This window comes from Homo sapiens, chromosome 4 (genome assembly GCF_000001405.40).
Source record: "Homo sapiens chromosome 4, GRCh38.p14 Primary Assembly".
Lineage (NCBI taxonomy): Eukaryota > Metazoa > Chordata > Mammalia > Primates > Hominidae > Homo > Homo sapiens.
In genome coordinates, this window is record NC_000004.12 from 156,481,636 (window position 1) to 156,494,640 (window position 13,005).

The 13,005-nt window shown below is 37.6% G+C and overlaps 2 annotated features.

Annotated features, from left to right (window-relative positions):
- Window positions 3,384–3,553: an enhancer, noted in NCBI's record as "experimental_75023 CRE fragment used in MPRA reporter constructs". NCBI's record gives its function as "activates a minimal promoter by MPRAs in K562 erythroleukemia cells, with activity observed for both the introgressed and non-introgressed 4:157406256 or rs79104594 variant alleles {active_cell/tissue: K562}" and the evidence as "EXISTENCE:reporter gene assay evidence [ECO:0000049][PMID:34662402]".
- Window position 3,469: a transcriptional cis regulatory region, noted in NCBI's record as "Neanderthal adaptively introgressed variant 4:157406256 (GRCh37/hg19 assembly coordinates) or rs79104594 in the experimental_75023 CRE". NCBI's record gives its function as "modulates activity of the experimental_75023 enhancer by MPRAs in K562 erythroleukemia cells {active_cell/tissue: K562}" and the evidence as "EXISTENCE:reporter gene assay evidence [ECO:0000049][PMID:34662402]".

The following is a 13,005-nucleotide window of genomic DNA, read 5'->3' on the forward strand; positions in this document are numbered from 1 at the left end:
TCCTTGCTTGTGTGCTTGGTTAAATTCTTTTATGAATATAACCAGTATTCTGTCAACTAAAAAATCATCTGTTCATGGAGGTATAGTAAAAGATGTAATGTGCATGCTGTTAATATTGTATGTTATGTTAAAATATAAGTGTTCATTCATTCAGTCTTTTCTTAAGGTGCCAAAGAATTAACAAGTCTTCTGATTGAGTAACCAGCTATTTCTGGTTTTATTTTCTTTTAAGTGGAGCAAAACTTAAGATATTTGTTAAGCAATATGAATTAAGGATCCTTCTATATTTTTCCCCAATATTTTCTAGTTGTCCTGTCCATGTCTAATTCATGAGTTGTTGGTTTGGTGTTTGTATGTGTGCGCACCTGGGGCCGGTGGGTGGGGCCGGTGGATGGGGCGGAGCATCGGTGGCAGAGGAGGGTGGAGGTTTAGCTATTAACCCATACATAACTAAGAAAAAGTCTTTTTTTTGGCGGGGGGGAGGGGTACGGAGTCTTGCTCTGTCGCCCAGGCTGGAGGGCAGTGGCATGATCTTTCCTCACAGCAACCTCCGTCTCCCGGGTTCAATCGCTTCTCCTGTCTCAGCCTCTGGAGTAGCTGGGATTAGAAGCGCGCCACCACGCCTGACTAAATTTTCTACTTTTAGTAGAGACGGTTTCACCATGTTGGCCAGGCTGGTCTTGAACTCCTGACCTCAGGTGATCTGCCTGCCTCGACCTCTCAAAGTACCGGGATTACATAAAAAATTTAATGTAATAGTATCCTTATTAGAAAGATTCCTTTAAACTATATATTTATGATTTTCAAGTCATTAATAAATTTTGGGATTTTCTCTTAATGTTATACTATAAGATCTCCATATTATCATAATCTATCCATTAATTTATTGGCTACATACTATTCAGTATTGAAAATTATCATCTGGCTAAGTAACAGGGATTTTTAATATTCAGTGATATATGGATGATATTTTTCCCCAAATTTTTAATATTATTCTTTAGAAATATTTTTCAACAGCCTTTCTGATATAGGGTCACACCATTAGAGTCTGTAATTTTAAAAATACTAACATGCTAAGATCTGCCACCCAAGCTGTTTAAATTATGTCTGGGGCAAAGGGAAAACCCAATCAAGTCATAGACATGTATGCTTCCCATTGCTTCAAAGTAGTTCCTTCTGCCTGTGTCTGCATCCATTTAGCAGCCCAAAATGACCAACCAAACATTTCCTTCAAATCTCCATGTCAACCTTTTTAATACATTGAATAATAATAATAGTTTACTGCCATCTTTGAGGAGCAAAGCAACTTCAGAAATAACTATAGTTAATCATTGGTATAATGCTTCACTGAATTGAGAAAATGCTTAAAATGCTTAAAATTTAAGGTTTGCCAAACATTTTTCAATCCATCCTCAAAGATTTATACCTAGGCAATAGCTGTCTCCAGGATCAGCAATGTGATTGTGATGGAGGCATCAATTCTCATGCATATTCAAACTCTTTTCATAGCACTATTTTAGGATCAGGATCCTGAGAATCAATCCTTTGGCAAAGCAAATTCCTGTCCAAGTGATGTAATACAGGACTATGTCATAGCTTTTCTCCTTCCTCTTCTTGATTTTAAAATAATCAAATAAAGATTTTTAGATAATTTGGATACATGTCCTCTTACACAGCACATGGAGGTCAAAGCACTTGATAGCTGGTAGTGAAATTAAGTTCAAAATAGATATGCTTATCTTCTCTGCATTAATCTAGTTTTGGTGATGATTAATATTAGCTTATTCTTTCTTTTTGCATTTCTGTTGTAACAGTGAAAATTCCCACTGAAGTGGAAGGATGCCTCATTTTGATTAGAAAAAATATGAAATATGCATAAGTGCAAATGAGAAACACACACTAATATACAGTATTTAAGAACACTATCCTACAGGTAAAAGCTCCCTTTAGTAAATAAGTGTGGTCCCGTAATGACTACTTACTATGACCTTGGAGTCCATTTCCTTCCAAGAAGTTGAGCGGTATGTCTTTATCCAAAATATTTTCCCCTCTTTATTATCCTGCTTAACAGCCAACTGTGAATACTGGTTGAAAGTCTCATGACTCATTGAATGATGGTGTGATCCTTCTCAAGACTCAGTTTCCTCTGCCCTGGCCCGATGTCCCCTGAGAGCTCAGATGTGACCACGGGCAAACATTGAGTGGGTTTAGGCCTTAGAGAGAGCCGTTGGCTCTATTCAAAGGCTGCCAGAAGTACAGTCTGGTCCCTTGTATGAAGGATTTCTCCCTGCCCTCCTCTCCATTCCTATTGGAATCCCTAAGTCACTGACCAGTCTCTGGCCTCAGAGACTTGGCTTGAGAGAGAAATGGGTGTCCATCCTCATGAGAAAGTTTGATTACACTCCTATTTTTTCGAGACCTCTCAAGCTTGTCCTGTCTTATGCATTACTAGCTACAGAGTTTTTTTTCAGGCTTGTTTCTAGAGTCTATCCTCCTCCAGAGTACACTTTTTTCCAATCTCTCTCTGGCTACTGTATATCTAGCTTCAGTTGCCATTGCTAAATCTTGGCTCACTTATATAAAAATGCCAGGGTCCAGGCAGGGACGTTAATAATTATTTTCCATGAGTCCTCCCTTCTTTACTTCCTCTGTTGATTCTCTGTCATTCTTTATTTCACTTGGAATTGCATCCATGAACCCAATGTACCTTGGCTCTCTAATTAAGATTACAGGTTTGTAATCAGCTGTGGATGCAGTTATATGCTCATAAATAAAATCATCACTTTCAACAGGGCCTCGTTATATGTTCACAGAGGTTTTTAAAGATGCCAGACAATGCTCCTAAAGATAGTAGGTAAATTTCTTACTCATGGCCGGGTGCGGTGGCTCATGCCTGTAATCCCAGCACTTTGAAAGGCCAAGGCGGGCGGATCACGAGGTCAGGAGATCGAGACCATCCTGGCAAACACGGTGATACCCCGTCTTTACTAAAAAATACAAAAAATTAGCCAGGCGTGGTGGTGGGTTCCTGTAGTCCCAGCTACTCAGGAGGCTGAGGCAGAAGAATGACGTGAACCCAGGGGGCGGAGCTTGCAGTGAGCCGAGATCGCGCCACTGCACTCCAGCCTGGGCGACAGAGTCAGACTCTGTCTCAAAAAAAAAAAAAAAAAAAAAAAAAAAAAAGACAATTCTTACTCATGTATTAAATACATTCAGAAAAACAGAATTTTTATAAATTCATCTGCTCTTCCCTCACAGTTGAAGAGGAAATAAATAATTATGGATTTTGGTCTAATCAGGAAATTAAAACTGTTCCTTTAGGCAATTTTATCTCTGTTTCAGATAAATCCTGTCTCTCAAGGTGGCATGAAGTGGCCTTTTAGTATATGAGGTTGCAGTTTTTTTGTGATAGGGACCTTACGCTTGCAGAGAAGATATGGGTTTTATGGATCCATGAGGCAGACTTTGGATCATGCTGGTATTTACCATCCAATAGCTAAGGATCCTCCCCAGACTGGTGACAGTTGAGCTGAGGATGACTGGCCTTGTCCCAGATAATCTGCAGGAATCTCCAGCTGACAACATTGGTGTAACTTATGTTCCACAGTAACTTATTGTCTGTCTTCTCTCAATGGAGATAGTATCTCATGGTCTTCCCCAGTGGCTTATCTCCCCTTCATCCATTGATATTCCCGTAGACATCCCTTAGGTCTGTGACTTTAATATGATTTCTCTGCTATTGGCCGCTGGACCCAGTGTTCTAGTTTTGAGAAAACATTGGCCTGCCTCAATGATTCCCTCTTGTGAGAGCCACTGGCCGTACTCTAAACATCCCCATGCCCTTCAGAAGCATGAGAAGAATTTTTGTTTCATTCTTATCATATAGGAAGCAAAACTTCAGTCTTCTGTCAGCTTAACAATGAAATTCCACTGAATTTATTTTGAGGTTTGTGTGAGGCAGCTGGGAGGTGGTCTGCCCACAGAATACTGCATGTAAAGTGGGATTCTTAAAAGCCCTTCTTTCGTTGCTTCCCACACTGAATTCTACCCTTTCCTGGGCTTTCAACTTGAGGAGTGTTGTGGGGGCGGTGAGGCACATGTTACTCTTGCTTTTTCTTCTTTTGTCAATTCATTAGGAACTAGGATAAGAGGGAATAGGTTTTATTTTCTCGTTTATGTGATTAGCCTTATCTGTGCTGCATCTGGGTCTGGCATACCGAGTTTTCACAAAGTATTGTGGAAGAAGGTGACTGAGGAAGACTGGAATAAGATGATCATTTTCTTCTACGTTGATGCCATAGTTTTAATCCCATAGCACAGTGATGGTCCGAAATATACAAAATATACAAAAACCACTGTATAGTTACTATCGGGAAAAAATTAAAATAATTTGTTATGATCTATGCCCAAAACAAAAGGTATAAATTTGGAAGACTGTCGTTGTAGATGGAATATACCAAATAACTAAACTCAACTTGTCAAACAATTTGTCTGTTGGCGGGGTGAGAGCGTACATTTGAGTTAACTTTCTTTCGGCAGGCTAAATCCGTTCAAAATTAAAACTTGTACAAATTTTACTCAAGTACTTTTGTAATACATAAAGACAATTGAATATTCCTACTTTCAAAATCCTCAAGGTCATTCCAAACATTTTTTAATGTTTTAAAATGGAAAATAATAGTGTTTAAATCATTATTTGATAATTTGAATGGATTCAAAACTATGTCAACAAACATTTACTGACCCTATCTAGAGAAAAGTTCCTATCTCACTGCTGTGAAAAATTGACTAGTACTCAAATGAGTCAATAACATGTTTCAGCATCTTCAATTTTTCAACAAAATGTCAACTTTGCTGCCTGAAATACAGAATTTTCACATCTTGAGCATTAGTAGCGATTTCAATATTAGTTATTTACTATTGACCTCCTCCCAAAAGTCCAGTTAATGTATACATATCAGAAAATTAATTTTTTATTATTTTAGGTTATCCATAAACCACTAGCATGAAATATATTTGTTATGTTATTTGAATTCTCCATGCAATGCTAAAATTAATAATATAATCTTATTTTTTATTTAGGTCCAATAAAAGAAAAGACATATGAAAATTGTGCCTTCATCTTTTAAAAATTGCTACTGAGGACTTTAGCCTTATAGCCATTGCACAATTTTCCGATATTAATATCTGTGTGCAAACTTCGTCTTGGTGAAATTACTTAACTTTTTAAAAATAAATTATTGCTTGGAAGAACACTTGTATAATCTCACATGCCCTCTCTTGCTCTGTTGTCACTATTTTGACCAATGAACAGTCACAGAGTATGTACTGTACTATATGCAAGAATAATGTGATTTTGACAAACTTAGAGTTAATAGGGAGTTTTCAAAATGAATATTCAAATCATTAAAAATATAAATTAAAAACAGCTATTCTAAATAATTACAAAGTTTTTTTTACACTTTATAAATCTAATAAATAAAATTGTAATTTCAATAGGGCTTTTAATTAATACTTGCCAATTCCCTTACTTCTGATAGAGACAGGAGACAACCACATGCCTCCTAGGTCACTGTGCGCAAGGGGCTTGCCTAAACATGCCCACGATGAAAAATTCCGGCCCTTTACACATATGCAGTAAGAGAAATAAATCAATGTGGAGTGTCTCAGACTAAGGGCCTGCCTGTGCACTGGGAGAATGGGGTGGAGCCACTGGGAATTCGCGCATTATGCAGTGGGGTGGAGCCTGGCCTCTTCAGCTCTTGTGGTGTGGCCTCGTATTCAATCCATGAGATGGGAGCCTGTTGGCAGGGCCCCCCCTTTTTTTGCTGAAAGCTTTCTTTTAATACTGTGCCCTGTTCACCTTTCAATGTGTTTGTGTGCCTAATTTTTCCAGGTCGTGAGACAAGATCCCAGATTTTAGCTGTATTAAGGAGCAAAAAATCCTGCATCACTTTTAGTTATATCTACCCCAATAGAAACAAAACTTTTTCAAATAAACTATTTTGTTAATTTAATGAGCTAAACATATAAAGTCAAACTTATTATACACATTTTAAGCTTTTTATAGGATTAATAAATGTACATTTAATCTTTTAGCATACTTCCTCAAGTCTATATTCAAATTATCAATAATACATTTTAAATTTAAATTGGAGTTAGCAAGTCTAATATGCTAGATTCCTTTAAACAGTTAATCACATTAAACAGCATAACATGTATGCACAAATTATTTCCAAAATTAACATAGAAAGGTTTTTTAAAGTTTGGTTTACTTCTCCTTTACATATATATGTCTAATTCTAATCTTTTGTAGTATGAAAAGATTCCTCAAGGAAATAATTATACTGAGGTTGCTCACCTGCCAGTGATGTCTGCTGAATACTTGATGTTTGATTCAGTTTGCAACATTTACCAACAATAGAGCTCCTTTACATAATCTGTAAGAGGGACTCTATGACCTTTAAATTGTTATAGACCTTTACATTGTTACCTGGTTTTTCTTCTCTTATTTCCTCATTCTTCCTTTTACTTAAGAATCCTGCAGCCAGATAGAGATGGTAACTAAGACCTTTACCCTTTCCTTGAATATTGCAATTTTTGACTCCCATAATGCATTTGAATGTTTTCCTGTCTGGCTTTAAAAACATTTTTACTTCTATTCCACTGGATCCTTTGTATACATATGGCATTCTTTCATAGTCTCTTAAATTTATTACCTGATTTGTGTGGGCAGAATTCTATATTCAGTATTCTTTTCACATTTTCCCTGTCTGGTAGACATTTACATACAGTAAATGTCATCAGGTTGAATTCTGTACACCTCTCATGTACTTGTTTCTGTGGTCATAACCCAAAGTCTTGCTGATAACAGTAGTGCAGAAAGATGAATGAGCTCCTTAATGATGCCCAGGGCAATCATAAGTAATGGGCCTCCCTTGTCTACACGCTCATAGGGTTTCCCTCCTTCAACTTTGCTTTCTAGGAAATTGTAAGCAGTACTTTGTTCATCACAGTGTGTGATGGTTAATACTGAGTGTCAGCTTGATTGGATTGAAGAGTGCAAAGTATTGATCCTGAGTATGTCTGTGAAGGTGTTTCCAAAGGAGATTAACATTTGAGCCAGTGGGCTGGGAAAACCAGACCCACCCTTAATCTGGGTGGGCACCATCTAATCAGCTGCCAGTATGGCAAGAATATAAAGCAGGAAGAAAAATATGAAGAGATGGAACTGGCCTAGCTGCCCAGCTTACATCTTTCTCCCATGCTGGATGCTTCCTTCCCTTAAACATCGGACTCCAAGTTCTTCAGTTTGGGAACTCAGACAGGCTCTCTTTGCTCCTCAGCTTGCAGACATCTATTGTGGGACCTTGTGACAATGTAAGTTAACACTTAATTTTATATATATGATATATTATATATATCATATATTATATATTTTATATATGTATATAATATATACATATATATCCTATTAGTTCTGCACCTTGAGAGAACCCTAATACAGGTTTTGGTACCAGGAGTGGTTGTAGAGGAACAGAATATTAAGGTTGGAGTTCTTTCCTTGGTTTTGGGGTTTCTGGAGTTCGCTGCTTAATATGATTAGACCCAAAAATGCTAAGGACTCTACTTCTAATAGTATGGAGAATTCTGATAGTCCTTGGCATTAACCGTTTAGAGAGTTATGCAAAATAAATGCATTTGACATTCCTAATTCACTGCTCATGAGAGGCAAGAAGTTTAGTGACTCTATATATAATACCTTTGACCATATGTGGAGAACCAAGGAACATAAAGAAGCTGGTTGGTTGCTCCTACGTTCAGTGGACAAAGTGATGAAAGAAAATGATAAACTCGGTGCTTCTATCTCCCGGCTTCAGAAGCAGATACTGAGCCTTAAATCTGCTAAGATTGCCCTGAGTGAGAGTCTTATCTCCTGTAGAGAAAGAGTCAATATTGTGAAAAAACAGACACAAGCTCTTATCATGCCAGTGGCTGACCTGCAATGAAAGGTGCATGCACAGCCTTGCCAGCTGTCTACTGTTAAAGTGAGGGCATTGATTGGAAAATAATGAGACCCTGCAACTGGGAATGGGGATGTGTGGAAGGACCTTGATGAAGCTGGGGACACTGAGTTTGTAAACTCCGATGAACCTTTTTCCCAGAAGAAACAGCTTCCCATCCCCAGTAATGGCTACATCCCCTCGCAATCCATGCTGCCATCAGCTTTTCCACCTTTGTCTGAGATGATAAATCCTGCGCTGCCTGAGGCAACAGTGATGGCCTCCCCTGAGGCAGGTGCCTGGCAAGATAATGTTGATTCTCCTCAGAAGCCACCCACAACAACCCTGTTTGCTTCTAGACCTATAACTGGACTAAAGTCCCAGCGGGCCCCTAAAGGTGAGGTTAAGAGTGTGACCTAAGAGGAGGAAAGGAATTGCTTGAGCTTTCTAAGTTATATAAACAGAAATCTGGAGAAAAGGCATGGGAATAGATATTAAGGGTGTGGGATGATGGTGGAAGGAACATAGAGTTGGATCAGGCTGAATTTATTGATTTTTACCCACTAAGTAGGGATACTGCATTTAATGTTGCACCTCAGGGAGTTAAAAAAGGTTTTAATAGTTTATGTGCTTGGTTAGCTGAAATATGGATTAAAAGATGACCTACTGAGTGGGATAGAAATGCCTGATCTCCCTTGGTTTAATGTAGAGGAAGGGATCAAAATGCTTAGGGAGATTGGGATGGTGGAGTGGATTAGTCACTTTAGATCTATTCACCCCATCTGGGAAGATACAGAAGATATACCTTTTTCCAATGTCTTGTGAAATAGATTTGTGAGGGCAGCACCTGCATCTTTGAAGAGCCCTGTAATTGGTCTTCTCTGTATGTCAGATCTAACAGTGGGAATTGCAGTCACTCAACTACAAAATTTAAATACAATGGAAATAATTGGATCCCAAGGTGGCAGGGGCCAAGTGGTGGCACTCAACCATCACAGGCAAGGTGAGCATAGCTACCATACTGGACAGCAGAAGCAAAGCAGCAATCAGAATAGTCTGACTGGTGTGGAGCTCCGGCATTGGCTAATTAGTCACGGTGCTCCTAGATGTGAAATTGATAGGAAGCCTACTGCATTCCTACTTAATTTATATAAGCAGAAAACTTCTAGATCAAATAGACAAAAGACTCATTTGAATTATAAAAGCAGAGAATCACAGCCCCTCAGTCAATTTCCAGATTTAAGCCAGTTTATAGACCCAGCACCCCTTGAATGAATGGGAGGCTGGGTCCCCTTGAGGAAGCACCCTACTACACTACTGACAATTTATGCTGTTAACCTTTCTCCCATCCTTCCCCAAGGAGACCTCTGGCCTTTTACCAAGGTAACTGTGCATTGGGGAAAGGGAAATAATCAGATGCTTCGGGGACTACTTGACACTGGCTCTGAGTTAATGTGGATTCCAGGGGACCTAAAACGTCATTATGGTCCTCCAGTTAAAGTAGGGGCTTATGGAGGTCAGATAATTAATGGAGTTTTAGCTCAAGTCCAACTTACAGTGGGTCCATTGGGTCCCCAGACTCATCCTGTGGTCATTTCTCCAGTGCCAGAATGCATAATTGGCATAGATATACTTAGCAGCTGGCAGAACCCCCACATTGGCATCCTGACTGGTAGGATGAGGATTATTATGGTGGGAAAGGCCAAATGGAAGCCATTAGAGGTGCCTCTACCTAGAAAAATGTAAGTCAAAAACAATATCACAACCCTGTAGGTATTGCGGAGATAAGTACCACCATCAAGGACTTGAAAGACGCAGGGGTGGTGATTCCACACCACACCTGTGTTCAACTCTCCCATTTGGCCTGTGCAGAAGACAGATGGATCTTGGAAAATGACAGTGGATTATCGTAAGTTTAACCAAGTGGTGACTCCAATTGTAGCTGCTGTACCAGATGTGGTTTCATTGCTTGAGCAAATTAACACATCTCCTGGTACCTGGTATGCAGTCACTGACTTGGCAAATGCCTTTTCCTCCATTCCTTATGTGACATAAGATTTATTGACTTCACATCAGCATTTAAGTATCGTTAACTTTATGTAATAGTATTTGGGTTGGGGATTGGTGCATTTCTGGTTGTAGGAAGGATAGTTGTATTATGTTAGGTGTAATTATAAACCTTATTATTGTCTTTATTTGAAGATTATGTATGATCTCAGGAAATGTATATGGATTCAAGTTGATGAAAGGTGGACTCATGATGGTTAATACTGAGTGTCAACTTGATTGAACTGAAGAATGCAAAGTATTGATCCTGGGTGTGTCTGTGAGGGTGTTGCCAAAGAAGATTAACATTTGAGTCAGTTGACTGGGAAAGCCAGACCCACCCTTAATCTGGATGGTTACCATCTAATCAGCTACCAGTGAATATAAAGCGGGCATAAAAACATGAAGTGACGAGATGGGCCTAGCCTCCCAGCCTACATCTTTCTCTCATGCTGGATGCTTCCTGCTCTCGAACAGCAGACTGCAAGTTCTTCAGTTTTGGGACCCAGACTGGCTCTCCTTGCTCCTCAGCTTGCACACAGCCTATTGTGGGACCTTGTGATCATGTGAGTTAATACTTAGTAAACTATTAAGTTTCTTACTTCTGTCCCTCTAGATAATCCTAATACACAGTGGTTTACCTTTTCTTGAGTTACACTATTCCAAATTCTTTACTTTTCTCTCTACTATTAATGTGCTGGATCTTTTATTTTTATTTCAATTTTTTTTTTGTTTTGTTTTTGGAAATGAAGGAGCTTCATTCAAAAGAGTAAATAAATCATTTTAAAAATCCATTATTAGAATCTGTTACTGTGTGATAGGAATTGAAATCAAATTGTATAGCTTAGTTATTAAGATATCTCACTAACCAAATTTCATATTTTAATTTTCTTTATTTAATACATATATAACTTTTGAAAGGTAAGTTTTATTGTATTATTATTATTTATTATACATTCTTTTTAGAAATATAGTTCTCTAGGCAAAATATTTCTAAGGAGTATATTGTAATATTCTTTTGGACTAGAGAAAGCATCTATTCCCAAACCAGACTCTGGTTTAGTCTCTCCTTTACTCCCGTCCATGTCCTGTGTGCCCTTGGGAAAGTCACTTAAGGATTCTGTACTTCTATTTCCTCATCTGTAAAATCAGAATAATTTAAAAATCACCAACATCACAGAGTTATTATAAAGACCAATTGAGTTGTATGTACAGAAAACAATAAGCACTCAACAAATTCTAGTGGTTATATTTTTTTTTAGTTTCCACAAAACATAGAAAAACCAAACTCAGTATATTGTATTGGAAAGATGTTAATGACACATTACATTTGATTTATGTTTTTGCTTGTAACAAATAGATGGGCTTTTATGTTTTGATATATTTGATATATATATGTTTGATATATTTAATATATGAAAACATAAAATAATTTTATGTTTGAAGGATGGCAAGTGGCTCAGAAAGGCTATGAAGTTTGCATCTTAGGAGAATGGCGGAAATCAACAGATGAGGGAGATTTGAATGTGATATCCTAAGAAGTTTGGAATTTTGAACTCAAAAAGAGAGTCACACTTACAGACTAAGAAAAAAAAAGGATTATATGATTAAATTTACACTTGAAAAATCAGACGATTGGCAATGGAGGCACTGTAATATAGAATAATGATATCTGTGTAGCAAGCATAATAACAGGAATCTGAGAATAGTGTCTTAAATGTTAAACAACACTAAAGTAAATCATTCTAGGAAATATCTCTCTTTAGTAACAATTATTTACCTAAAGTCATCAAGATGTTCTCCCAGTTAGTAAAAATCATGTCCAAATTTCCACTGAAAAATCTGCAGAATTGAGGCAGCAAATCTCTAAAGTGACCCTCAGAACAATTAATAGAAATCAAAAGCAAAGTTCACCAAAATATTCCATTGAAATTGCATATATTAATAGCAAAGATATACAAAAATGTTTATTCAAATTGAAATTTTTAAATAGATTATGTTGGTTTCCAAGGGGACTCTTGACAGTCATTAATTCCAAGTAGCACTTAACTTCATCTTCTTCACACATAAACACAAGTACTATCTGTAATAAGCAGGCACATGTTGAAAATAGACAGTCTTCACTGAGTGAATATCTAAATGACCTGTAAAAAGAATTATCTTTCCATTCTATCTCAGATTATGCACTATTATAAAAAGGTGTGGTCACACACATCTGATCTCTCAAGGCTACGAGGATACATTATGTCCTACATTTAACATTATTACTGTGATGAATGTTTGATTTCTGAATTGTTGGAAGGGAATTTGTACAAGGATTCCATGGCACAACTACTGAAGAGAAAGACACTCCTTCTTCAGCCAAATGCCTTCTCAACTCATTTCAGGGGAATTTTGACTCAGTGTGTTAACAGAAGCTCTGCATTATCTGATTCTCATCTGGGCTAGAAGAAATGGCATCCCAAATTCCATGTAATTCTAATCTCAGATAAAAACAGACATTAACGTTCACAGAATTGCCTTCTTGTTAATTTGACTCTGTCTTTACTAAGTCCATTAAAACGCAATGCAATAAAACCTGTGAAATTAATTTCTCCACTTACCGGTCATTTATGACAGAATTCATACGTTCCTCAAACCATTCTAAACCTAAGCAGGAAAAAATGGCATTGCTTTTACAGTTTTCAAAGTATTACATCTTTCCAAACACTTCTCATTTTATGGAAGCTGAGGTTTCAAAGGGTAATTGTATTTTGTCTGAGTATATAACATCAGTAAAGCAGAGATAGTGTAATTCCTATTAATAGTAAAATCAAATGGAAGAAAATTACTCAGTGTGATTTGTCACTACACTGGACTTTTGTAGCCATAGCTTGCAGTATGTAACTGATTTATTCATTCCACAAATGTTTATTAAAAACCTACCCCTGTGATAGATGGTGGGAGAAGTGCAGAG